A 27,772-nucleotide genomic window follows, 5' to 3' on the forward strand; every position below is an offset into this window, starting at 1 on the left:
CAAAAGGAAATAAGCACAGAATAATTTTGTCATATAGCTTTCAGATCACTTAGTCCTCATTTCACAGGCTATAATTGTTTCTCCAACTTTTCCACTAATATATGGAATGCATAAACTATGTTTGTTTGTATAAGTATAAATATATTAACTTAAGACTGATAAGAACCCAGTATTTCAATAAGTTTCGAGGAAACAAAAGTGAGTGTCCTTTAGGTACTAAATGAATCTTATATACATTTAAAATTTTACATATATGCTGAAGACACAAAGTTGACTATAACATCATAATGTTTTTAGATGATTTGTGGGGATGGGTAGGAGTAGTGGATTCACAACTATCTATTTGGATAACCAGGGGTGTCCAAGAATAAAACTCAAAATGAAAGACTTCTAACGTCAACTTGGCAAATATATTGAACACAAGGTATTAATAACACTAGTGAAAAGAATCAAAAATTATAAAGTGCAGTGAAGTTTTATAATGACTGAAATCCAGTTGGAACATACGGGAAAAGATGCTGATTATATTATAGAGAATCATATGCATCGTACTGAGATACAAAATAAAAAGATCCGCAAATCAGGAATAATGAAGAATTGACAAGCAATATTTTCTGAAATCTCAACTTAAAAACCCGGCCATTCACTATACCTTCTATGGAATTTATATTCCTTTAACGTAAGAATGTTAAAACCAACACGAAAGTGTCTCTCTCTCTATAAAAAGGCCAATATTTGAAAACATTACTTGTTTCTCTCCTACATCTACAATTTAACAGTTGTGAAAGCCTTAGGAAGTCATCTAATTCAAGCTCTTATTTTATAGTCAAAGAAGCTTAGGTTTGTAGTTCTCCTTGAAAAGGTCCTTCACGTCCCTTGTAAGTTGGATTCCTAGGTATTTTATTCTCTTTGAAGCAATTGTGAATGGGAGTTCACTCATGATTTGGTTCTCTGTTTGTCTGTTATTGGTGTATAAGAATGCTTGTGATTTTTGTACATTGATTTTGTATCCTGAGACTTTGCTGAAGTTGCTTATCAGCTTAAGGAGATTTTGGGCTGAGACAATGGGGTTTTCTAGATATACAATCATGTCATCTGCAAACAGGGACAGTTTGACTTCCTCTTTTCCTAATTGAATACCCTTTATTTCCTTCTCCTGCCTAATTGCCCTGGCCAGAACTTCCAACACTATGTTGAATAGGAGTGGTGAGAGAAGGCATCCCTGTCTTGTGCCAGTTTTCAAAGGGAATGCTTCCAGTTTTTGCCTATTCAGTATGATATTGGCTGTGGGTTTGCAATAGATAGCTCTTACTGAGATACGTCCCATCAATACCTAATTTATTGAGAGTTTTTAGCATGAAGAGTTGTTGAATTTTGTCAAAGGCCTTTTCTGCATCTATTGAGAGAACCATGTGGTTTTTGTCTTTGGTTCTGTTTATATGCTGGATTACATTTATTGATTTGCATATATTGAACCAGCCTTGCATCCCAGACCACTGCTCAGTGAAATAAAAGAGGATACAAACAAATGGAAGAACATTCCATGCTCATGGGTAGGAAGAATCAATATCATGAAAATGGCCATACTGCCAAGGTAATTTATAGATTCAATGCCATCCCCATCAAGCTACCAATGACTTTCTTCACAGAATTGGAAAAAACTACTTTAAAGTTCATATGGAACCAAAAAAGAGCCCGCATCGCCAAGTCAATCCTAAGCCAAAAGAACAAAGCTGCAGGCATCACACTACCTGACTTCAAACTATACTACAAGGCTACAGTAACCAAAACAGCATGGTACTGGTACCAAAACAGAGATATAGATCAATGGAACAGAACAGAGCCCTCAGAAATAACGCCACATATCTACAACTATCTGATCTTTGACAAACCTGAGAAAAACAAGCAATGGGGAAAGGATTCCCTATTTTATAAATCGTGCTGGGAAAACTGGCTAGCCATATCTAGAAAGCTGAAACTGGATCCCTTCCTGACACCTTATACAAAAATTAACTCAAGATGGATTAAAGACTTAAATGTTAGACCTAAAACCATAAAAACCCTAGAAGAAAACCTAGGCATTACCATTCAGGACATAGGCACGGGCAAGAACTTCATGTCAAAAACACCAAAAGCAATGGCAACAAAAGCCAAAATTGACAAATGGGATCTAATTAAACTAAAGAGCTTCTGCACAGCAAAAGAAACTACCATCAGAGTGAACAGGCAACCTACAAAATTGGAGAAAATTTTCGCAACCTACTCATCTGACAAAGGGCTAATATCCAGAATCTACAATGAACTCAAACAAATTTACAAGAAAAAAACAAACAACCCAATCAAAAAGTGGGCAAAGGACATGAACAGACACTTCTCAAAAGAAGACATTTATGCAGCCAAAAAACACATGAAAAAATGCTCACCATCACTGGCCATCAGAGAAATGCAAATCAAAACCACAATGAGATACCATCTCACACCAGTTAGAATGGCAATCATTAAAAAGTCAGGAAACAACAGGTGCTGGAGAAGATGTGGAGAAATAGGAACACTTTTACACTCTTGGTGGGACTGTAAACTAGTTCAACCATTGTGGAAGTCAGTGTGGCCATTCCTCAGGGATCTAGAACTAGAAATACCATTTGGTCCAGCCATCCCATTACTGGGTATATACCCAAAGGACTATAAATCATGCTGCTATAAAGACACATGAACACTCATGTTTATTGTGGCACTATTCACAATAGCAAAGACTTGGAACCAATCCAAATGTCCAACAATAATAGACTGAATTAAGAAAATGTGGCACATAAACACCATGGAATACTATGCAGCTGTAAAAAATGATGAGTTCCTGTCCTTCGTAGGGACATGGATGGAATTGGAAATCATCATTCTCAGTAAACTATTGGAAGAACAAAAAACCAAACACCGCATATTCTCACTCATAGGTGGGAATTGAACAATGAGAACACATGGACACAGGAAGGGGAACATCACTCTCTGGGGACTGTTGTGGGGTGGGGGGGAGGGGGGAGGGATAGCTTTAGGAGATATACCTAGTGCTAAATGACGAGTTAGTGTGTGCAGCACACCAGCATGGCACACTTATACATATGTAACTAACCTGCACATTGTGCACATGTACCCTAAAACTTAAAGTATAATAAAATAAAATAAAATAAAATAAAATTTAAAAAAAAAGAAGCTTAGGTTCAGAAAGTGTAAATAAATTTACAAAGATCACAAAACTTGGGAGTTGGGAAACCAAGCCTAAACCACACTTCTCCCTCTATTACAATCCGGAAATCTTTCCTCAGTATTTTTTTTTTTTTTTTTTTTCCACGACAGAGTCTTGCTCTGTTTCCCAGGCTGGAGTGCAGTGGCACGATCTCAACTCACTGCAACCTCTGCCTCCCAGATTCAAGCAATTCTCCTGCCTCAGCCTCCTGAGTAGCTGGGATTAGAGGCGTGTGCCACCATCTATGTCTATTGACAACCAGTCAGTAGCTATGTTCCATCTTTGTAATGGGTTTTCCTCTTTCTTTTTCTCTCCCCAACATTCCTTTCCTTTCCTCTCCTCTCCTCTTTTTTCCTTTCCTTCCTTCCTTTTTATCTTTTCTTCTTTCATTCTCCTTCACTTGACATCATTTCCTTCTTCAAATATTAATACAACTTGGATAAACTTTTTTTTTTCCTTATCTACCTGAAAGTGTGTGCTTTCTCTCCTTTACAGGCCTCTGCAATCACTACAATAAAATATTTGAATCATTTGACCTGCATTTTGTAATAATAATAATAATCATAATAATAAACTCTGACAGGTCTGGCTGTCCCACTTCCATGTGGTGACTCCCCTATCACTCTTGTAATTGCTTTCAGCTACCTGGACATTATTTTCTCCTCAATCCAATAGCTTTTAAGAAAACCCTGTTTAGTGCAATCATTAAAAATAAACTCTGGCTTCCAAAGAGGAAACACAAACATGAGAGATTGCTCTTGAGATTAAATAAATGATAAACATTTAAAACCAAATGGTGTATATGTGCCACATTTTCTTAATCCAGTCTATCATTGTTGGACATTTGGGTTGGTTCCAAGTCTTTGCTATTGTGAGTAGTGCCGCAATAAACATACGTGTGCATGTGTCTTTATAGCAGGATGATTTATATTCCTTTGGGTATATACCCAGTAATGGGATGGCTGGTTCAAATGGTATTTCTAGTTCTAGATCCCTGAGGAATGGTCACACACATATACATATGTAACAAACCTGCACGTTGTGTACATGTACCCTAGAACTTAAAGTATAATATATATATATATATATATATATATATATATATATATATATATCCAAATGGAAGCTAGATATTGTTTTGTTCCATTTTTTCTTTTGCTCATGCTCAGAAATATTTATATCATTCATTAATGGATGTAATTTCTGTCAGCTATTGGCAGAGCTGGCATTTGAAGCAAGTGCTTCTACCTGTTGGATGATCTTAGTTATATTTCTAAGGAACTGAGGAACAACACTTTATCATGTACCGTGTTTATATGCTTTCTCATCTACTCTCTTATTTGCCCCTATAACCCTAAACCTAGTGATATTTTTATTATTATCATAAATTTACAAATGAAAAAACTGAAGCAAAGATTGAAGTAAAAAAAATCATGCTTCTGGGAGGTAAGGTTTGGTACCCAAAAAAATCATACTGCTGGGAGGTGAGGTTTGGTACTGGGTTTGTCAACTTTGTAGTCTGTGTACTTTTAACATAAGCCCTACAGGTAAATAAAAGTTAAAAGATGTCTCAGTTGATGCATGATTTCTTGTGTTCATGATAACAAAAATCATTATGAATATATGATTATCTGAGTCACAAGACATCATGGAATGAGTGTAGATTTTAGTGTCAGGGGATACATTTAAATTCTGGCTATTTTGCTTATAATGTAGTAGGTCAACAAATGGAGTCATACTAATTATTGTTGTTATTAATCTCTCTATGCCTGAAAGCAAAAGTGTTTTATGAGGAAAGTGTATACCATATTAAAAATGTAGGAGGAAAGCGAAGGATCCGAGTTCAGGACAAACTCTTAGAGTGTTTTTTTCTTCTTCTTCAATTATGCCTCCTTATGTTTTCATCAGATGAGAATGACTAGGACAATTTAAGTAAAATTGATAAGGAATATCAGGGAAAAATGTGTGTAGGAGCAAGTCACAGATGTATCTGTTGGTGAGTTAAAAATCAACACGAACAATGAGAACTTCGTGACAAAATCTACCAATCTATTATCTTGCACAACTGTTGATAGTGAACTTTATAATAAGAGGTCATTCCAGTGGTTATAAAGCCCAGTCTCCTCATTCTACAGGAAAAACAGAGGTATGGAGAAGATCAATGACTGAATTTACATGTCTTGTGACAGGATTGGAACTTGTAGCCAGGACTCAGGATTCTGAGTACTGTAGTTTTGCTTGCAGTCTCCAGGCACTGAAAGTGACCCCCATTTAAAGAATTACCTTCTTTATTGATAGGATTAGGCTTCGTCATAAAGAACTGTCAATGATTCAGTTGGTAGATGCCAGAAATTATGTGATTCTCAGGCAACAAAAAATTATCTATCTGTCTATCAATCATTTATCTATCGGTCTAATCTATTTAGATAAATAAAACAGACTCATTCAGGGGCTCCATTTGAAGTGTTCTTTGGAAAACTCTTTCAGCAGTTATGAGGTGCCCACTCATTATCATTGCCTGCTCACTGTCAGGAAACATTTTGACTCTAATAAATGCAAGAATACAAAGCCCAAATCAAACTTCAGATGCCATCTGAGCATATGACTCTGGTACCTTTGGGATGTTCACACTGCTCTAAATAAACAGATTACTTGGCTAGATTTACTTGGCATGTCTGCCCGTGCACACTGGAAAACTGGGACAAGTTTCCAGATCCAAATGGGTGGAGGAATCAAGCAGTGCCTGAGGTTATCTGATTAAAATTCATTTGGAAAAGTATTATTCAAAAGGATTTCAGAACTATCTGAAAAGACAGCATGGCTGTATGGCACGTATTTCAAACAGTTGGATCAAGATCTGAATAATGTTGCTAAAAATGCTAATGGAAGCTTCTCAGTGGCACCATGTGTGGATTTTGCCCTTGATAACCAGATAAACCAGAGCTTGACTTTTAAAAGGTTATTCTGAGGATATTTGTGCATATTAGAAGATGAAATCATTACAAGCAGGGTATTCAATTAAAAGAGAAAGATCCGAATTACTTTCTCGTCTGTGAATGTCCCCTCACTTTGAGCCTGGTAAAATTGACAGTTTTTGAGATTGATGAGTTTGTATAGTCCTTACAATAAATAGACTGCATATTTTGCAGTTACTCACCCACAGCCTACATATCCTTCAAAATGTGCATGAGTAATGTTAAAAAATCTGTTTAGATGATTTCCAATTTCATCATTCTCAGTAAACTACCGCAAGAACAAAAAACCAAACACCGCATATTCTCACTCATAGGTGGGAATTGAACAATGAGATCACATGGACACAGGAAGGGGAATATCACACTCTGGGGACTGTGGTGGGGTGGGGGGAGGGGGGAGGGATAGCATTGGGAGATATACCTAATGCTAGATGACGAGTTAGTGGGTGCAGCGCACCAGCATGGCACATGTATACATATGTAACTAACCTGCACAATGTGCACATGTACCCTAAAACTTAAAGTACAATAAAAAAAAAATCTGTTTAGAATTTAGTAGTCAGGTGGACTTTAGAATGCAAAGAAAAAATAGGATTATTAAAATTAGTTTAACAGCATGGAGTTAAATAAAGAAGGGAAAGACCTCCTGCTTGGGGCATGTGAAATACAAAAGAAAAAATTAACTTCTAAGCATCCATTTTCTTCTAGTTTCTCATCCAATGAGATTATTTTGACTTATTAGCTTTGGTATTCAATAAAGATTTATCAAGCATACCCACTGTGTGTCAGACACTGTGTCAAGTCCTGAGTATATCAAGATAAGTAAGATTGATATACACCCTCAAGGCACTTAGAGTCTAATGAGGAGATAGAAAAATACATGTTGACAATATTAAGTACCATTACAGAGATATCCACAGGGGGCAGTGGGAGCAGAAAGGGAAAATATAAATCAGTATTGGGTAAGGGGGAGTTGAGCCTCACAGAAAGAATGGTTCTTTAAAGCTCTATTGAGGGTTCATCAAGTGAAAAAGGAGGGAAAAAAGCACTCAAGAAAGAAGGTATTAAATATGTTAGGAAATGGAGATCTGAGCCACTCTGACTAGTTCAGTGAATCATAAGTAGTTTGGAATAACTGGGACAAAGGGTGCTTATGGGGAGACAGTGAGAGACAAACTTAGGGCTACTAGCAATTGATAATAACTGGCAGAACTACAATTTCAAGGGTCTTTGGTATTAAGTTAATGAATTTGAATTTTATCCTGAGAGTTATAGGGATTTATTGAAAGATTTTTACCTGTGGGTGTGCTTGATAAAACTTGTGTTTTAGCAAATCACTTTGGCAACAACGTGGGGAATAGTAGGGAGCAGCCAGGGTGGAGGTAGGATATCTCTTAGCATGCTATTGCAATAACTTATGTAATATAAGAGGCAGATGGTAATGGATATGAGAGACATTCAGGAGGTATGAACTATTGGATTTTGGGACTGATTTGGTGTGTTGTGGACACTTAAGTAAAAAAGGGGATCTAAGCTGATTTTCAGTTTACAGTTAACCAAAGAGTTAGATAAATCAGAAAGGTCAGTCAGGTGGATAGTAAAGATGATCAGTTTAAATCACAACATGTTAAATTTGAGTCTTTAGACTCCGCAGAAATGGGCTGAATAGACAGTTGCATATATTGGTTGGACGGTGAACAATAAACATTAATAAAGTGAAACTAAAGTCAAATATAAACATGATGGTAAAACAGTACCTGGCTGCTCCAAATTTGTTCAGACATTTTGCAAAAGTAAATTATATGCCAATGTATTAAAGCTTTTTAAAAGAGAACATTGAACCAATCAGTAGTCTTTAAGGGACTCTAGAGGTTGAAATAGGAACCACAAGATTGCAAGTATAATTTCAATGTTCAAATTAAAGTCATTCTAACTTCATAAGCTTTAGGGATCTAAAACCTATCAGACAGATAAATGCTGTTGGTTTCTGACCTTCACTGGGATTTTTAACATAACTACATAAAATTACTTAAGGCCAAATAGAGAAATATGGACTGAACAATACAATTTAATGTAATCCTTCCTAACAACTGTGCTCAAAAATTGCCAACTCTAGATGAATAGTGAGTGGGTGATGTGCTGCAAGGCTCTGTCCTTGGTTTTGTCCAAATACTTTGTCAAACTATTGGATGAAGATATAAAATCCATTTTCACTACATTTTCAATGGATATCAAAGTTGAAGACTGAAAGCAGGCTAGATGACATTTAGAATCCATAAAAATCTTAATAGAGGAAATTTAATAGGGGTGGATCTGAAGATCCTGCACCTGAGCTCTCAGAATTACCTAAAAACTATTTCTTGGCTGAGTTGGGGCTGTCAACTCGCTCAACATACAAACTAAATTAATAATAAAATAGAAATAAGAGCACATTCAAAGAAAAACCTTCAGGCACTGATATAAGCCAGAATCCAGTTACATGATAAGAGAATAGACTAAAGAAACTGGAGCCACAGAGAAAATTCGAGAGAAACACAAATAATTGTTGATCTGTGGAGACTTCAAAGAGTGTCACATGGAAGAAGAATCATGTTATATATAATCGTAAGGACTGGAACTAGTGGTATCGGACAAAAAGAAGATACTTTTTTCAGTTCATCTCTGTGCTGCGTTTGCTCACAGTGGAGTAGAGGATAACATTGACTTTAGAGTCAGACTTTTCTAGCTCTACTGTAATTAGCTGTGTAACCTTGGACAGATTTCTTTAGCATTTTTCTGTCTCATTTTCCTCATCTAAAAATGAGGATGATAATAGGATCCAGCTCATAAGGTTATTGTTAGGATTTAGTGAGTTAATATAGGTAAATCACTGAGAAAAGTGTCTGGCACATAGGAATTGCTTTTGTGCCAACTTCCACTGTTACCAGGAGCAAAAGGTGAGTTGTTCCCCAAGGAACAAGAGAATTAGAGAGATATTCTTCAAGAAGCTTTTAAAAAAGTATTGGTCATTTGTAAGCCAGGGTCTGTGAGTTGGTGACAGTTCCCAACTGTCCTAGAGGCTGTCTGCCCACACACTTCCCATCAGAGTTTATGGGGGGAGCCAACTGCAGGCAACAGTGTTCATCCCAGGACCTAGGACAATCTTCTGGTTGGTTATCGGACCAGCTCAGGCACTCCTGTCATTGCCAAACTCATCTTCTAGTCTTCATACTTTAATTTTCCATACATGTCTCTGACTTCTGTGTCAATAACCGAGTCAGAATCTGTTTTTCTGGAACACAGTCTTTGCCTCTCATCCCAAGTCCTTGCTGGAGGATAAGGGCAGTGAAGCAATAAGCCTTTATTTAAAATATTCTCGGGTATAAACTGAAGTCCATGGAGCCACAAGCACAAAGCAAATATTTGATGTTTTATAGAAAGTGGGAAAAGGCTTCTTTCTATCTCGAGATCAGAACAACCTTGAGATTTTACTAGCAGCTACATTAGTGTGTTGTTGTTTCTAGACTGTGGTTTGTGTACACATGTAACAATTCATCATCTTGTACACATTAAATATATACCATCTTTATTGGCCAACTTTTTAAAAAACAAACAAACAAACAAACAACAACAACAAAACCCCCAGGATTTGGAGTATCTCATACTTCTGAGTTACCTACCCAGCAATCTAATTAAAATTTCTGGGTCAGATCTTTGAATCATGTTCATCATCCTTTCCACTCTATCTATGGACCATACCTTTCTCATATTGAGTTCCACTCATATTGTGTTTCATTGTTTCTTAAAACAATGAAATCCATGGACAAATGGCCTTGAGAAACACTGCATTACTATAACCGTGGCTTCAATATTCCCAAGACAGATTAACTTATTAAAAGCCCCAATAATTCCTCCAGAATAAATTCCCCTAGAGTAAATTTATCTGAGTTTAACCCGTAGTTGCTAGTTTGTTCATTCATAAAGTTATTTTTAGCCTGTGGTCCATCAATATCTTATAAATCTAATATTTGGGGAAAAAATGGAACTATTAATTTTAGCAGCCATTATTTGAACTAAGTATTCATTTATTCTTGAAAAGAGGCTTTTAATTAGGGAAAACATATGTCTCCATTTTCTTGGGACATTCCCAGTTCATTGATGTTGATCCAGTGTCATTATTAATAGCTCCCTCTTTCTCTCTGAAAAATATAATTGTTCTGATAATCAATTACATAGACACTGAACCTATAAGGTAAGGTATTATCATCTGACTTTTTTTTTTTTTTTTTTTTTTTTTTTTTGGCTTTTGCCTCTCTAGTGTCTATCCTGCCTACTGCAGCCAGGAAGAACTTTTACAAAGGTAAACTAGATCATTTATTTCTCAGCTCATAATCCTCCAGTGGCTTCTAGGACCCTCAGCCAAATCTATAGCTCTCAAAGACCTAGTGATTTAGCTGCTGGCTATATCTCTGATGTAATGTTCGAAAAACTCTCCTACCTGTTCTCACGGGGCTGCTTACTGTCCCTAAACATATCAAGTTGTTCCTACTTCAAGGCCTTTCCTTTGCTGCATTTTTCTGTCTGGAAATCTCCCCGGTTATTCACATGACTTGTTTCCTTACTTCATTGAGTTTTCTGCTCAAATTTTATTTCCTGTGATCACCTTATCTAAAACTGCTTTCTTTTCTCTATCCTTCTCTATCTCTTTATCCTTCTTTACTTTGTATTTGTTTTCTGTATTGTTTGAGTTATATATCAAACACCCCAGTGACATTAACACCCTGGAAACTTCATTAAGTTGTATTTATGTACTCTTTGTAAAACATTTCTGCTATTTTCAGTTCTTCAAGTAAATTAGCAAAATAGTTAGGAAATAATTGCATACATTTGCTCACTTTAAAAGACTGACATTTTAAATAATGTTGTCAAGTTTCATTTATCTCCCTTATTTCTGGATATTTTGATTCACAAGCACTCTCTTTTGACCTGTATGCTTCTTTTGATGAATATGGATGCAATCTACCTTTCTTTGGGAAATGTATCTGTAACTAAATCAGTAACTTAGAGGAAAGGAGCTTTCTAGAAATCACCCAGTACATTCTCCTGGTCGGATAGGGAAATATACTAAGGAAGATAAATGTTTCTTTCATGTACTTCAATGTGTGGATGGACATCTATTTTGGTTTGTGCTTCATCATGTCCTTTTGGGAGTTGCCCCTTGCCCACGTAGTAGGGATCTCAATCCAAGGCCTCATCTCATTTGCCACTTATGTGGGACCTGACAAAAGCTTTACAACAAGAATATGTCATCTCCCTGTGGATGCAGAGTGTCCCAGGTCTCAGATTATCTTATAACCAGGGAATCAAAGTGTCAAAGGAACTTTTCTTTCTATCTCTCTACTCAGATGTACTCTGCACCCTCAATCAAGATCTTACCATGAAGCATCAAAGACTGTTTTCATCATCTCTAGACGTCTTAACATCATCCTCACAAGAATTTAAATCTCCCCTTGCCCAGCATCCATAGCAATCCTCCAACAGGATTCTGATATGTTCCATTTGGTTCTTTCTAGGCCAATGGATATAGACAGAAAAGCAAACAAAGTGAATATAATCCTAGAAATGGATCTAAATACTATTGAACTTATAGTCACTACAAAACTTTCTTTAGAAAAATTTGTACTCATTGCTACATGGTTTATTTTCCCAATTTAGCTTCCCTTTCCTCATGTCATTCATCTAACCCACTGAAGAAGGCACAATCATTTAGCCAGACTTCCATCTTCCCTCTCAGGTTTGCGGACTATGGTCTGGTTTTCAACCTCTGCAATTTTCTTTTCTTTAGATTCTCAAATTTCATTAATAAATTATTTGAGGGTAAGGGCTGTGTCTTAGTCATCATTTTGTACACCAAAATATAGTGTTTGAAAGATAGTAGATGTGCAATAAATGCTTGTTGAGTGACTAATAATAACTAATATTTATTGAGTAATTACTAGGTGACAAAAACTAAACATATACTTTATCTCATTGGTTCTTACAATAAGAATATAATTGCATTTTAAAAATATTTTTATTCCTTTAGTACAGTTGTGAAGATTTATTAGAGCATTCAAATACTTTCATGTGACTTTGAATAATAAACACATTACTCAGATTAAGTAAAGAATACTCATTTATTCACTTAATTATTCATCAAACATTAATTATCTACTTTGGGTCAGGAAATAGCAGTCCATATGCAATATAAGGAAGATGTCACAGATCTGGTCACATTCCTGGTTAGAACCCTTACCTCCTACTCTCCAGCCACTGATTTCAGAACAAAGTTCCAACTTATTAGCAATATACAGGATTCTCATCATCGCCTCTTCAATCTTATTCCTGACTATCTCATACCTAAAAGCTCGAGCAATAGCAAAACCCTAATAGAGATTAGGCTAGTGGTTATCCTTGAGGGGAAAATGGTCTGGAAAGAGGGATAAAGGGGCCTTCTGAAGTACTGAGAATGGTTCTGTTTCTTGATCTATTTGATGGGTATATGGGTCAATTCCATTTATGAAAATTCCTTGAGCTGCATAATCACATGTTTCTGTAGGTATGATATACCTCAATAAAGAGTAAACAAAAGAAAACAACAAAGCACCTTTTGTAATAATGAACTATTTCTAGTTTCCCATCCATAATTTGTCTTAATTTTCCCTTTTCTCTAGACTTTGCATATGCTGCTCCCTCAACCCACATCTCTACTGGTCTGTGCCATTAACTCTGTCTCATAGTTCTCACCGAGCTGCTTTGCAACGGCCTGTTTTTGCATACTCTAAGTTCTTCAGAACCATGTCTCCAGCTACTAAATGAACTTGGTATAGTGAGATAGTCACACAATTACACTGGTGTACTTTTTATTCAACATAGTGCTAGAAGTCCTATCTAGAGCAATCAGACAACAGAAGGATATAAAGGGCATCCATATTTGACAGGAAGGAGTCAAACTGTCCTTGTTTGCCGATGATACAATCTGGTTTTGGAAAAACCAAAAGACTCCACATGAAAGCTATTCAACTGATAAACAAATTTAGTAAAGTTGCAAGACACAAAATCAACACACAGAATTTAGTAGCATTTCCATATGCCAACAGTGAAACAATATAAAAAAGAAATAAAAAGTAATCCCATTTATATTAGCCACACATAAAATTAAATACCTAGGAATTAACTTAACCAAAGAAGTGAAAGATTACTACAATGAAAACGATAAAACATTGATGAAAGGAATTGAAGAGGACAACAAAAAATGGAAAATTAATCCATAATCATGGATTGGAAGAACCAATATTGTTAAAATATCTGTATTACCCAAAGCAATCTATAGAGTCAATGCAATTCCTATCAAAATGCCGATGACATTCTTCACTGAAATAGAAAAAATAGTCCTAAAATTTATGTGAGACTACAAAAGACCCAGAATAGCTGAAGCTATCCTAAGCAAAAGAACAAAACTGGAGGAATCACATTACCTGGCTTCAAATTATAATGCAGAGCTAGAGTAAATAAAACAGCAGGTTACTGGCATAAAAACAGACACATAGACCAATGGAACAGAATAGAGAACCCAGAAACAAATCCACACACCTATAGATAGTGAACTCAGTTTTACAAAGTTGCCAAGAACATACACTGGGAAAAAGACAGTCTCTTCAGTAAATAGGCCTAGGAAAACTGAATATCCATATGTAGAAGAATGAAACTGGACCTCTGTCTCTCGCTAAATACAACAATCAAATAAAAATGGATTAGAGACTTAAATCTAAGACCTCAAACCATGAAACTACTACAAGAAAACCTTGAAGAACATCTCCAGCACATTGGTCTGGGCAAAGATTTCTTGAGCAATACCCCACAAGCACAGGCAACCAAAGCAAAAATGGATAAATGGGATCACATCAATTTAAAAAGCTTCTGTACAGCAAATAATACAATCAACAAAGTGAAGAGGCAACACACAGAATGAGAGAAAAATATTTGCAAATTACCCATCTGACAAGGAATTAATAACCAGAATATATAAGGAGCTCAAACAACTCTATGAGATACATTCTAATAATCAGATTTTTAAAAATGGCAGCAGATTTGAATAGACAGTTCTCAAAAGAAGACATACAAATGGTAAACAAGCATATGAAAATGTGCTCAACACCACTGATCATCAGAGAAATGCAAATCAAAACTAAATGTGATATCTCACCCCAGGTAAAATGGCTTTTACACAACAGACAGGCAATAACAAATGCTGGTGAGGATGTGGTGTAAAGGAACCCTTTGTACACTCTTGGTGGGAATGTAAATTAGTACAACCACTATGGAGAACAGTTTGGAGGTTCCTCAAAAACTAAGAATTGAGCTACATTTAATCCAGTAATTCCACTGCTGGTTATATACCCTGCAAAAAAGGATATCAATATATGGAAGTGATATCTGTACTCCTATGTTTGTTGCAGCACTGCTTATAATACCTAAGATTTGGAAGCTCCCTAAGCATCTATCAACAAATGAATGGATAAAGAAAATGTGGCACATATACACAATGGTGTACTATTTAGTTCTGATGTTTCTAAACATCAAAAGAATTGAACTCATGGACATAGAGAATAGAAGGATGGTTACCAGAGGCTGGCAAGGGTAGTTAGGGGATGTGGGGAAGGCTAATGGGTACAAAAATAGTTAGAAAGAATGAATAAGATCTACTATTTGCTAGCACATCAGGGTGACTGTAGTCAATAACAATTTAATTGTACATTTTAAAGTATTGTAAAGAGTCTAATGGGATTGTTTATAACTCAAAGGATAGATGCTTGAGGCGATGGATATCCCATTCCCCATGATGTGCTTATTTCACATTGCATGCCTGTATCCAAACATCTCATGTACCCCATAAATATATATACTATGTACCCACAAAACATTTTTAAAAATTACTAAAATAGAAAAAAATAAAAAAGTCACATTGGTGGAAAATGCTCATAGAGCTCAATTCTAGGTGCTACGGAAACACAATAAATGTGTGCATGCATACACACCTACAAATACTCAAACATCTATAGTAGGCTGAATATAAGTCAAAGGGGAGCAGTTGATTTGTGCAATTGTCACTCCCCAACAAAAACAACAATAACAATATTCAGAAGACTTATCTGTACTTTTAGAATCACTATGCATACATATTTGGAGTACTGGTGTTAAAGATGTCAACGGAGCTTAAATAGGCATTCTGTAAGTTAGGCATCCCACTCTTTTCACATGTAGACTTGTTAAATCACTTGTCCCAGATGTTAAAACCATAGGTCCATGTCAAATTAATTCCCTTAGATAAATGACTAATCTTGAGTTAGCCTAATTTCAGTACTGAGAGGTTAGGGAGCACACCAAATCAATTACTCTTTGTCTGGTTTCTAAACCATCGTTGAACATAACAAGCTTGCGCTCAGATTACCTTCTGCAGAATTTCTCAGAGCTAGTCATGTGTTAGTGTGCCTTCTGGCACCTGAGATGGAGACACATTTTATGCAATATTTCATAGATCCTTTTTTTTTTTTTTTTTGACCATGGAAAGCTTTACTTCACCAAAGATATGAAAAGACAATTCTTTTCCAACCAAATTTTGAAAACTGTGATTTAGAAGTTTACAACGTTGGTGAATTTTTGGAGGTCTGTTTCTCACCTGTTTAATGAATATTTACTGTATCTTTCCTCAAAAAGTAGATACAATTATCCAGTAATTTGGGCATGGTAACCCAAATGGATTATTGAGAAGAAAAAACAAGTTTTGGGGGCATATACTTTTTAGAATGGTTATCTATTTAGTCTGTGTTCCCCAAAAGAGCATGGACTTTTACCTTGGCTCAGGGACACATTTGTTGAACATAAGCTAAATTCATAAATGTTATGTAAATTTAGTTTCTTTATAACAAAACTTTGGGATTTGGTTTTTAGCATATTGGGTTCTTATTTTGTCTTCCAAATCTTTACATTCCTCAGGAAGGTATAATTGTATAAATTACTCTAGTTTATTGTTGACATGGTTGTTGATAATTTTAAAAAATGTAATCTATCAGGGTCTATAGATTTATGGGACCTGAAGGAATTCAATTTTGTGTTTAAATCTCTAATCTCATTAGTTGTTTTTCCTTTCCCCTGCCTGTAGTAGGGCAGTAGATATTTATCTTTTTAAGCAAAAGAATATTTAAATATTAATGATAGCAAAATCATCTCTGGGAAAATGATATAATAAGTGTTCTTAAATGTGTGGTAGAGTGAAAATAGGGTTAGAAGGTGGACATGACCTCTATTCCTCCGCACATGTCTGGTAGAATGTGAGGAAGAAAGAGGTAAGCTTTCATTTCATTCCCTTTTACAAAAGTACAACTGAGCAATTTCCCTACACCTTATATGTAAAATTATTGCTTTATAACTTTTACAAAACTAAATGCACAACTCACAAAATTGGTAAAAATTGTATGTTGAATTTCCAAAGGTCATATGCTCATAAGCAAATGTAAGTTAATTGTCGAGTGGATTTCTTATTGTTCATTTTAGATTAATGAATGTAAAATTAAATGAAATTTAGCACGTATGGGTGATAGGTCCCTCAATATAATACTAACTTTCCTTTAAATGATTCTTATCTCATTTTCCAATCGTCTTTACTTACATAATGTTGCAGAGTGAAGGGAAGGGTGTTAAACATTTCAACATACGTTGATCGAAACATGATTAATATGATAGGCAGGGAGACTACAAGGATGAAATATGGCCACAAAATAATAATTTAACTCTGACATTCAAAAAATGTCTACTCAACACTTTGGAAATGTTAGTTCATAAAGAGCATTTAATGTTATTTTTTATAGAGTTGGTATTCACAAAAACTTTTTCAAGTGATTATTTATTAAACTAAGTGGACTGTAATCTGAGAATAATAATATTATTTTGCTCTTACTCCTTGCCATAACACTACTGAATATCTTTCACACATTAATTTTATTATTTGCTTTCATTTTTAAAAGGCACGGAAATGACTGTGGAGCAGTGTAGAACAGAGCTTAAATGCAGCCTTCAAATCCTACTTCCTCTTTTTACTAGTTGTGTGATCTTAGGCATATTATTTAACTTTTCTGTGTGTCAGTGTTTCCATCTGTAAAATGGGTGACTATCTCATAGGGCTAATTGTCAGAATTAATAAATTAATACCTGTAATTTGCTTAGAAGTGTGCTTGGAAAATAGTAAAACCTTCATACATATCAAGATAGTTTTTAGGTGACTTGCCCAGCATGGCAGAAAGTAACATAGTTGGGATTTGAACATAGATTTGTCTGAATCTAGAACTCAGGATTTTAACTGCAACAACAAAAATAGTTTTTATTTCATAGAATGTATTTTATCTATATAAGTGAAGCAATAAAAGTAGTAAAGATTTAAAAGTAGTTTGTTAGAATTGTGTTTCTTTGCATTAAATTCAACAATAGCTTGCAATTGGCAATGGTTCTTAGAATCATTTCATATATAATTGCACTTTGTCTCTCAGAAGGCAAGCTGCTGGGCAGATTAAGGAACTAGAGTTCTAATGATTATTGTGTATTATTATTTATTGGAATCTAACACATTGCTCAGAATAGAGTACATATTCAATGGAGTCTTCTTTCTCATTTGCCTAAAACACCTGGTTCAGAAAATGATTCAAGACATTTCCTCGTCCTCATCATTTCTGTTAAGGTATGATTTCATTTTTAAAAGTTTAGGAAGTTCTCGACACTTCCTAGAAAGGTAAAAGTAAAAAAAAAAAAAATCTAAAAAAAAGATTTTCCTTTTTTAGAATAAATTTGCCAATGTTTTAGAAAATTGTTGCTATCCAAAATTAACTAACATGCTCTTTCAATATGTCTGTTTGATGATTTTCTAAAACAATATAAAATTTCATTTAGTATCTGTAGTTAAGAACCATAATGTCACATATATATATTTTATAGCTTTCAATAATTGTGGGTAGCATTCACATGGATTCAAGCTAAGGACTATGATAGATATCAAATAGACACATATCAATCCTTTATTATAGAGAAAACTTCCTTTTAAACATGCTGAAACTTTTAAAATAAGGATTCTGTTAGCAAAGAATATGCCGTCGATAAAACTTCCAAAGAAATTATCCTGGGAGAAAGTACATTTTTTTCCTAATCTTCAGCTGTGGTTTTGTTAACTCCTCTTCTGAAATAAATTAGACTGGCAACCACTTTTCTTTAATTGCATAAAGGAAATGATTCTTAATCTTGGTTTCACATTAGAACTTCATGGGATGGACTTAAATTACCCTTGTCTGGACCCCACTAACATTTAATTCCTCAGGGGTACAATGTGGGCATCACCTACCCTACGTGATTTTCATGTGCAATCAGAGTTGATAACCACGGCTCATATCAGGGAAATAAATCAATGGGATAAGGGAGGCCATTTTCTCCTCAACAGTACCAAGTGCCTCTTGAATTTGTTTCCCTTGTATTACTTCACAGACCTTAAAACTACATTGAAAATTCTCTGGCATACAATTTTCTTCCAATACCTTGTCATGAGACTTGAAAACGTCATGTAACTTTAAGATAAAAAATTGAAAGCGGTTCTTCATAGGCAGATCATGTCTGATCAGAATACCAGGTGAACTGGATCCTAGGAAACCTTCACCTTCCAATGATTGAAGGTGGAGAAATCCTATAGCCTTTCTGGCTTTCAGATTCCTTACCAGCACCTTTGCCTAGTCTCAGGCCTTTTGTGTCATTTTTAACGTTCTTAAAATCTTTACTATTCTGTCAGGGACCACTCAGTGTCTCCCAGCTTTTAATCACCTGATCAAGGGGATTTGGAATTTTTTTTTTTTTTTTTTTTTTTTTTAAGAATTGCCAATGATATCTTTTCCCTTGAAACATAATGACCTTTTCTGTGGGCCAAAATTTTCCAGGCTTCTGGAAGTGTACATTCCTACTCTTACTTTCATACAAACTCTCTCCCAACATTCAGAAATACTCTTCCCCATCGAATCCTCTAAAAAGTGCTTCCTCCTCTTGTTATTGTCACACCATAGACCAGGCCCACAGCTATCCAGACAGGTCTCATGATGTAGACAGAAGCCTCCAACCTGTGCTCCATGCTATTTGGAATTATTTCAAATTTTTTCATCATACTTAACCACCATGAATTTGCTTCATACCTCAGCTAACTATAACAAGATCATTAACAGCCTTTTTTTTGTTTTTTTTCCGGTGCAGTCTCACTCTGTCGTCCAGGCTGGAGTGCAGTGGCATGATCTCGGCTCAAAGCAATCTCTGCCTCCCAGCAATCTCCGCCTCCCAGGTTCAAGCGATTCTCCTGCCTCAGCCTCCCGAGTAGCTGGGATTACAGGCATGCACCGCCACACCTGGCTAATTTTTGTATTTTTAGTAGAGACCGGGTTTCACTATGTTGGCCAGGAGGGTCTCGATCTCTTGACCTCATGGTCTGCCCTCCTCAGCCTCCCAAAGTGCTGGGATTACAGGCGTGAGCCACCGTGCCCGGCCGCCATTTTGTTTATTTATTTATTATTTTTTTACGTAAGACTGCCAACACCTTCAATTTTCCTCTCAAAATATGATTTCTTTAAGATTTTCTAGATGTATAGTCATCACTAAATGCTTAAGAAGTCATGAAATAAAAGGGCAAGTAGCTTGACTGTCATGAATTTTCTTCCACAAATGTTGACATAGTATATACAAAATTAGCAGTAAGTCATTGTCTATTACTTATATTATGCTTCTTGGATTAGTTTTCAAGAGAAAAAACAGGAGCAGACATTTCTCATGAGGAGTGCACACTTGAAATGCACTTGGCAGTAGGCAAACGAGAAGATAGTAGCTGATATCATATATGCATTGCATCTGTTCACAAACACTAGTGGCATCATTTATGTCAACCTTTTACATATTGAAAATTGCAAAGACTCCTGCTGTGCTGTTTCTTTTGAGAAGCCGGCTGGTATATAGTGTTTAATTAAGTATTTTAAAGCCATCTTTTCGTAGGCCTGTTCCACTTTAGCAAAAGTTATGACAGCTTGTCTCTGTTAGTTTAAAAAAAGAAGGCATAGTTTATTCTCTCTCTCTCTTTCTAACTCTCTCACAAATATAGAATATTAGTATTTTTAAGTAAAATAGCCTATTTTAGAAATATAGAAATATGTTATTTTAATGTGCTCTCAATGTAAATAGGCATATAAAAGAATAATTTGATGGAAACAATCCCTTAGTATTGTAATTATTTTAATAATTATAGTGCACTATTGAAATAAAAACACATTTCCTCTTTCTCTGCCACTTTTTTGGTGTAATGGGACATTCAGAGCTTGAAAGAAACCACCACATAAGTAGTCATTTCATCTGTATCTGTTAAATGAATTGCTTTTCCCAGACATCTAATTTATCCAGAGAACATCTCCTTGGTCAGTATTACAAATTGTTTTTATTTTCTTACACTTGCTTATTAATAATTTTCCATGTCATGTCTGTCATCAGAGAAGGAAGGTCACATTCAATATTTCTCCATTTCTCTTTTCTTTTTTCCCACTCATACTCTAGATTGAAAACTTAGCTAAGTAAAAACAATTGGTTCAAATCTTATTTGAATTATGGACACATTATTCTCAGTAAAATAAATCTTGAGTTTAAATCCCATTATCTTGTGTAAATTTTTTTAATTCAATCTTGGCAAAACATGCATATTTTAAAGATATGACCTATAATTTTTTCTCTTGACTTTTGTGTTTGGCAGGAGTTCACAGACTTTGCTAACAATTTTAACAGATATGCTTTAATTTAATAACTACAATTTGGTAATTAGCTGGAGTCGCATTTCAAAATGCAATTGATATGATTTGGCTGGATTTATCTGTATTCTAGAAAATACAGGACAGTCGTATAGATACTGGTGTTGTTACTCTGTTCATATTCACACTTTTACCTTGCATCATTCCTGAGACACAGAATTTTTGATATTCTGCCACAATCTATTCCCAAAACATCACTGATGACAAAACGATAATAATCTTTGGAAACATTTCCTCTCAAGTTCCAAAGTTTTCAGTCAGTAGAAAAAAAAGAAAGAAGACAAAATTTTAAAGGTGCTGAGAAAAGCCCAGGGCTCACAGCTGGTTTCAGCAACTTCAACTTGCGTAAGACCCCGTGTTTGTGAAAACAACCCAAGAATCTTTGAACAGGATGTAATCAACCTCCGAACTGCTGAGAAATATTGCAAAAATGACTTCAGCTGCCAAAAATAATGTCGTTTACAAGCAGCTCTTCCTATGTCTAAGGAAGAACTAGTCACACATGCGAGTTTTTGCTGGCTTGAGAACAAGCAAGGAAAAAGACAAATCCCACCTACCCTAGCCTAAAATACACAGTGAGTCTCAGAACCCCGCGGAAGCTGTGGCTCATTTCTAAAGGTGCTGGCAATATCGAGGAAGACTTGTATCCACAAAATTCCAAATGGTAAGTGACCCAGGACAGAGGGATTTTATTTGGCAGCAAATCTGTGTTGCCACTTTCCTTCCGTTGCAAAGCTTCCCTGTCTTGTGGAGGCAGAGCTGTTAAATACCTCTTAGTCACTAGCTCCAACCTATTTTTTTGTTTGTTTGTTTTTCTTTTCAAAATATTATCTGGCACCTTCCCTTAAAGGACATCAAGGGCTCTGGAGGAAATATTTGCAAATGATCCTTTATAGAAGTTCCATCACAAAAGCCCGGCACCTACCTCTGTCAAGCTTTGGCTGCTCAGTCCGCATGGGCTGGATGTGAAAAAAGATCCCAGTATGATGCCTTCTCTAAATTTACCAGAAAGAAAGGACCTGGGATGCTTGTCCTTTAAGTGTCTCTAAACATGGTTTGCATAGCTGGATCTCAGCTTATCTGTGCCTTTCGGCTTTCGCTTCCATACATGGATCTGTTCCCAACAGTAACTCCAAGCTGTCGAAAAGAAGCTATCTGGCAGCTCTCTGCTTCATCCAACACATGGATGATAAAAATACACATATAGCGATTCTTCCAGCCAGGCCCATTTCCCACCACATGATCCTGTCACTATGCTTTTTTTTTTTTTTTTTTTTCCAAAACACTTTTGAGATTGGCATTTCTACTCTCCAAATATTTAGATCATAACCAATTTTTACCTGATTCCCACATAAAGCTTTTAGGGTGTGGGTTCGCCTAGCTTTATGAAAACAGAGAGACAATTATGGTTCCTTACTAGAGTCTTCATCCTTAAAGATTCTAGTGACAGCATGTATATGGGACCTGTGAAATGTTTAATGAATGAATGAATTTATAAACGAATGGCTGAACAGATGAATAACACTGTATGTGAATGAAAAACTACGTACTTTACATATTTACTTAACTGGGAATAGTGGTTAACATTTTGGATTATTTGTCTTCAAGGAAAAGATAGCAGAGGGTAAAAGTTATCAATATCTCTAAGAGAGAAGAAGCTGTTATTTTAAACAGCTTCTCATATAGCGTATTGTGGCAGTTCCCATTAAACTACTTTCTAGAACATAGTTTAAGATTTGTAATTTTTTTAAAAAAATTAAAGAATGTAAATATGAATAGAATACTAATTTTTACATTTGTTAATTGTCAAGGATAGTTTAAATGACAGATATCTGTGACCTAAATGTTAGATGGGGGATAAATTCTGCTCTGCGTGGTGGAGAAGTACTCCCTTAGGGGGTTGCTGAAGCTCTGCTTAACACCCCAGTTCTTTAGAAACTTCACTTCTCATTTTTAACATTTATTTCTCTCATTTTTTCCAACTTGTTAATCTTGTGCAACAAGAGGTCAAAATATAGAGAGAAAGAGAAGAGAGGATTTCAAAATAATAATTTTCCATTGATTTTTTTTCGAAATCATGTTAAAACCCTTGTAAGTTATTCTGTTTGAAGAAGCAAAAATAAATTAGAGGCATAGATACAGACATAACTCATTTTGGTGTGGCAGAAATGAAATGAGTTTTGTTAAAATATTCAGGAGGGATAAAAGGAGGGAATAGTCAAAACCAGGCTGGTAAAATGTTCATTGTTGCAGGTGGTTGATAGGTACATAGGGGTTCATTATATTATCCTATTTATCGGTGTGTGTTTAAAATTTGTATTAAAAATTGAAGGAAAAGAGAGAAAAGAGAACAACAAACAGATGTGTGAAAAAAAGACACGAAGTACAAAACGGATGTATTAATGGCAAATGTGAGTATTCCTAGATTTGAGTAATTTTCCTGCCAAAGCATTTAGGTCAGAACAAGAAGGGATGAGACTGTGTTTTTTAATTCAAAATATTCTGATATTCCAACCTCCTCCTTGGAACCTCCAATTATTCTATGTAATAATAATTTGTATCTAATGAAAATTAAGATATGATATTTAAAAAGCCAACCTAATGCAGCTCAGTGCTAGACATGGTAGATGGGTGCTTACCCAGGAGCCATTCAATACCCTCTCTTCCCTTACTTTTTCTACTTTAGAAGTTCAAAAGCAAAACCTTTTTTCCTATTGTCCCTCACACCTGGAGATGACAAGGCAACATAATATTGTCCAAACAGATGTCAATAGGAGTTCCCTGGGTGGGACTTCAGGAAAGCTCATATTTGTTAAAAAAAAAAAAAAGGACAGGCTCAGCTTTTGCCCCTCTTGTTCCTGCACCCCTTCCACCTTTTTCCTTCCCAGAGAGTAAACTTGAAGCCTGAAATTGCAGCACTCATTTGGTGACCAGGAGTGGGCAAACAGAAGGACAAAGGCCTACAAGGTAAGGTAAATGGAGCAGATGGAAAGAACTGCAGTTCTTGCCAGTATTATTGAGTCACTACAGCAACAGTAAATTGTCCCTCTAAACTTTGTGTCATGTGAGAAAAATAAAACGATAATTAATACAAAAAGTAGATTCTACATTATGAACCCAGAAACCAAAAAGCTCTGCTCTGGATCTGACTCTGTTACTTACTACCTGAGTGACATTGATCATGTCATAGAGTTCTATTCCCTCCTCTGTTACTCAAGAGAACACTTGACTTCTTTAGCCTAGAGTTATCCTATGAAATAATGCATGTTATATATCTTCATACATGGTAAGAGAGTACATCAATGGAAGATGTTGCTTATTTAACATGCCAGGTGGTTGATACATAGGACACGCAGTGACTCCACAGTTAAATATAACAGTGCCCAGGAGTCTGCTTTCCGTTCAAAGAAGAATTTGCAGACACTTACTTTGACTGGCTTAATTTCAGACTTCTTGGGAATTCTGTTCTGAAGTTAGGAACTTCCAAGGTAGAGGACGTTTGTGTTTGTGTATTCCAAAATGTATTTGCCCATGTTGGGTCAGTCAGATTGAGTTGGCATGTTCTTGGTGAGGTATACAGTGGAAGTGGGCCAGTTTCCTGCTTCACCTAGGCTAGGCTTTCCTTTTTCCTAGAAAAATGAAAGGCTCAGGAAAGCAGCCATGCTAACTACTATACCACCATCACCACCAGGAAGGCTCAGGACACTCATTCCCAACTCTGGAGGATGCTGTGGGGTTCATGAGCAGGAAGAGATCTCCTGATAAAGAGGTTAAAGACCTATCATATCTCCAAAGAAAGAGGTTAAATGATTTTCTGTGAGCTTCGTAAATGTGGAAGTCAGGATTTAATGTATTGACATTGATTTGCTTAACTCTGTGGGGAAGGATGTAGTCATCTTGGCATTCTATTTTGCCGTGGCTTAGAGGATGATTCTTTCAATGAAATAGACTCCACCTCCTCCTAGAAGTATGTACACCACTGTACATGCAATCCACCTTTGCCTGCTGGAAGAACATATCCTCAGTCTTTTAAGATTCAGCTCAGTGTCTCTTCTTTCCTGAAATCTTTACTGACCTCACCATCATGTATTCTGAAGTATATACAGCATATTGTTGTACATTCACCCCGTCTCCTCTTTGCATTTGGCCATTAGACTGTGAGTGCCAAAGGACAGGGGCTCTGTATTATTTGCTTTTGTATCATCAGCATCCATTATAGTGTCTGTCCTATAGAAAACAAACCTTAACATAAGACTGTTGAAGAACTAAATTCATTGCTAAGTGATTGAAAAATGTGATTGAAAAATGGGTAACTGGTTGTATCTCTCAACTAGTGACCATTAGCCTGGCAGCTTTCCCTGTTGCATAAGGCTTAAGAATCTCAAGTACCCCACTGCCCTGTGGGTAAAAACTGTCAACTAAAAGGAGACAGAAAACAGAGTGTGACAAAATATTAATATCATTCCAATTTAACTGAGCAGATTATCTAAGGTTTCCAGTTATCCAAGGCAGAGGACCATTATATTAGGACAGATCATTTACAGTGGATATCAGACTCAGATTTTTAGTATGAAAGAGAGGGGCAAGTATTGTACTCTTTTAAAAGATTACAAATATTCAATCCTTGGCAATTTAATATTTGTCTTCCTTTGTCTAAGAATACGAGGGGAATCTTTGATGAAAGACTTGTTGAGGCATATGGCAAGTTTTGAAAGAATTTGAAGGTGAATAAGTAATGAAATATCTATTCCCTCTTTTAACATTAAAAACAATTGTATTTAACCAATAAGGAAAAAAATTCAGGTAAAAAAATTCCATGCATATTTTTCTTTTTTAATTTAATTTCTACTAATATTATGACTCAGAGGCTGAATCCAGGATAAAGGTAATCTATCATCAGGGCTCTCTTTCAGGGCAGAAAGAGAACATATAAAGACTAGAAATGAAAAAAAGAGATTAAACAAGGCTTCCACTTCATCTCTGGATTCTATCACTTAGCATAGTGTTTTCAAAGTTCATTCATTTGTATCATGCATCAGTACTTCATTCCTCTTTGTGGCTGAATATAAAATCTCGTTGTACAGATGTACCTTGTATTGTTTGTCCATTCATCTGTTAATGAATATCTGAGTAGCTTCTGCCTATTGACTGCTATGACTAGTGCTGTTAAAAACATCCATGTACAAGTTTTTGTGTGGACATATATTTTTATTTCTTTGGGTATATACCTAGGAGTGGAAATGTTGAGTTATATGGAAACTCTATGTTTAATCATTTGAGAAACTGTCAGATTATTTTCCAAAGCAGCTGCACCATTTTATACTCACATCAGCAGTGTAGGAGGGTTCAATTTCTCCACATACTCACCAACACTTTGTTATCTTTTTGATACTTGCTATCCTAGTGCCTTTGAAGTGGCATCTGATTGTGGTTTTGATTTGCATTTCTTTAATGACTAATAATGTTAAGTAGCTTTTTTTTATGGCTCATTGGCCATGTGTACGTCTTTCTTAGTGAAGTGGCTATTAAGATCCTTAGCTGATTTTTAATCAGGTTATTTGTCTTTTATGATTGAGTCATGTCTTTATATAGTCTTGATACAAGACCCTTATCAGATATGTGATTTACAAATACTTTTTTCCACTCTGTGGATTATTTTTTCACTTTCCTGATGCTGGTCTTTGAAGAACAAAAGTTTTTATTTTTATTTTTCTTGTAGCCATTGCAATTTTGGTGAAATCCAATTTATCTATTATTTATTTCTTTTGCTCATGCTTATCCAATAATTATAATCCAACAGATTATTATCCAATAATCTGTTGCCAAAGCTAAGGAAGGTCATGAATATTTACTCCTATGTTTTCTTCTAAGAGTTTTGTGATTTTAGCTCTTACAATTAGGTCTCTAATCCATTTGGGGTTAGTTTTTGTGTATGATATGAGATAGGAATCCAACTTCATTCTTCTGCACATGAATATCTAGTTGTCCCAATGCCATTAGTTGAAGACTATTCGTTTCTGCATTTAATAAACTTGCTATCCTTGTTGAAAATCAATTGAACACAGATGTATGGGCTTATTTCTAGATGTTGAATTTATTTCTGGATGTTTATTTCTGGAATGGAATTCTGAATGGACGTCTATTCCTTTGATCTGCAGGTCTATCCTTATGCCAGTATCATTTGTTTTGATTACCGTGGCTTTGTAGTAAATTTTGAAATCAGGAACTATGAGTCCTTCAACTTGGTTCTGTTTCAATATTTGTTGGCTATCTGGGGTTATTTGAAATTTAATATGAGTTTTAGAACCAGGTTGTCAACTTCTAAATAGTATCAGCGAGGATTTTGATAGAAATTATGTTGAATCTGTAGATGATTTTAGGGAATAATCTTAACAATGTTAAGTCTTCTGATCTATGAACATGGGGTCTTTTCCCATTATTTAGATCTTCTTTAATTTCTTAATATATTGTATTTTTTAGAATATAAGTTTCGTACTTCTTTTATTAAATTTATTCCCAGGTATTTTATTCTTTTTGATGTAGTTATGAATGGAATTATTTTCTTTGTTTCATGTTTAGATTGTTCACTGCAAGTGTAAAGAAATAAAAACTGATTTTTGTGTATTGGTTTTGTATTCTGCAACTTTAATAAATTCATTTATTAGTACTAACAGTTT

The 27,772-nt window shown here is 35.5% G+C and overlaps 1 protein-coding gene and 1 long non-coding RNA gene across 9 annotated transcripts in view; one reads left to right on the plus strand and one right to left on the minus strand.

Annotated features, from left to right (window-relative positions):
• SLC8A1 (solute carrier family 8 member A1) overlaps nt 1–22,107 on the minus strand; it is a 415,166-nt gene extending 393,059 nt beyond the window's left edge. For all 4 annotated transcript variants that reach the window (NM_001112802.2, NM_001372263.2, NM_001394106.1 and 1 more), the window contains exon 1: nt 22,021–22,107. The gene's annotated coding sequence lies outside the window, so the exon portion shown is untranslated. The remainder of the gene's footprint in view (nt 1–22,020) is intronic.
• Nucleotides 21,594–27,772, plus strand: part of LOC101929667 (uncharacterized) — a 46,532-nt gene continuing 40,353 nt past the window's right edge. For 2 of the 5 annotated variants that reach the window (XR_007086295.1, XR_427021.5), the window contains exon 1: nt 21,594–21,759. This is a non-coding gene — a long non-coding RNA (uncharacterized LOC101929667). Of the gene's footprint in view, nt 21,760–23,427; nt 23,507–23,983; nt 24,063–27,772 lie in introns of all 5 variants that reach the window. The other 3 variants (XR_939982.3, XR_244991.5, XR_939983.4) reach the window with 3 other exon arrangements.

This window comes from Homo sapiens, chromosome 2, assembly GCF_000001405.40.
Source record: "Homo sapiens chromosome 2, GRCh38.p14 Primary Assembly".
NCBI classification, from domain to species: domain Eukaryota; kingdom Metazoa; phylum Chordata; class Mammalia; order Primates; family Hominidae; genus Homo; species Homo sapiens.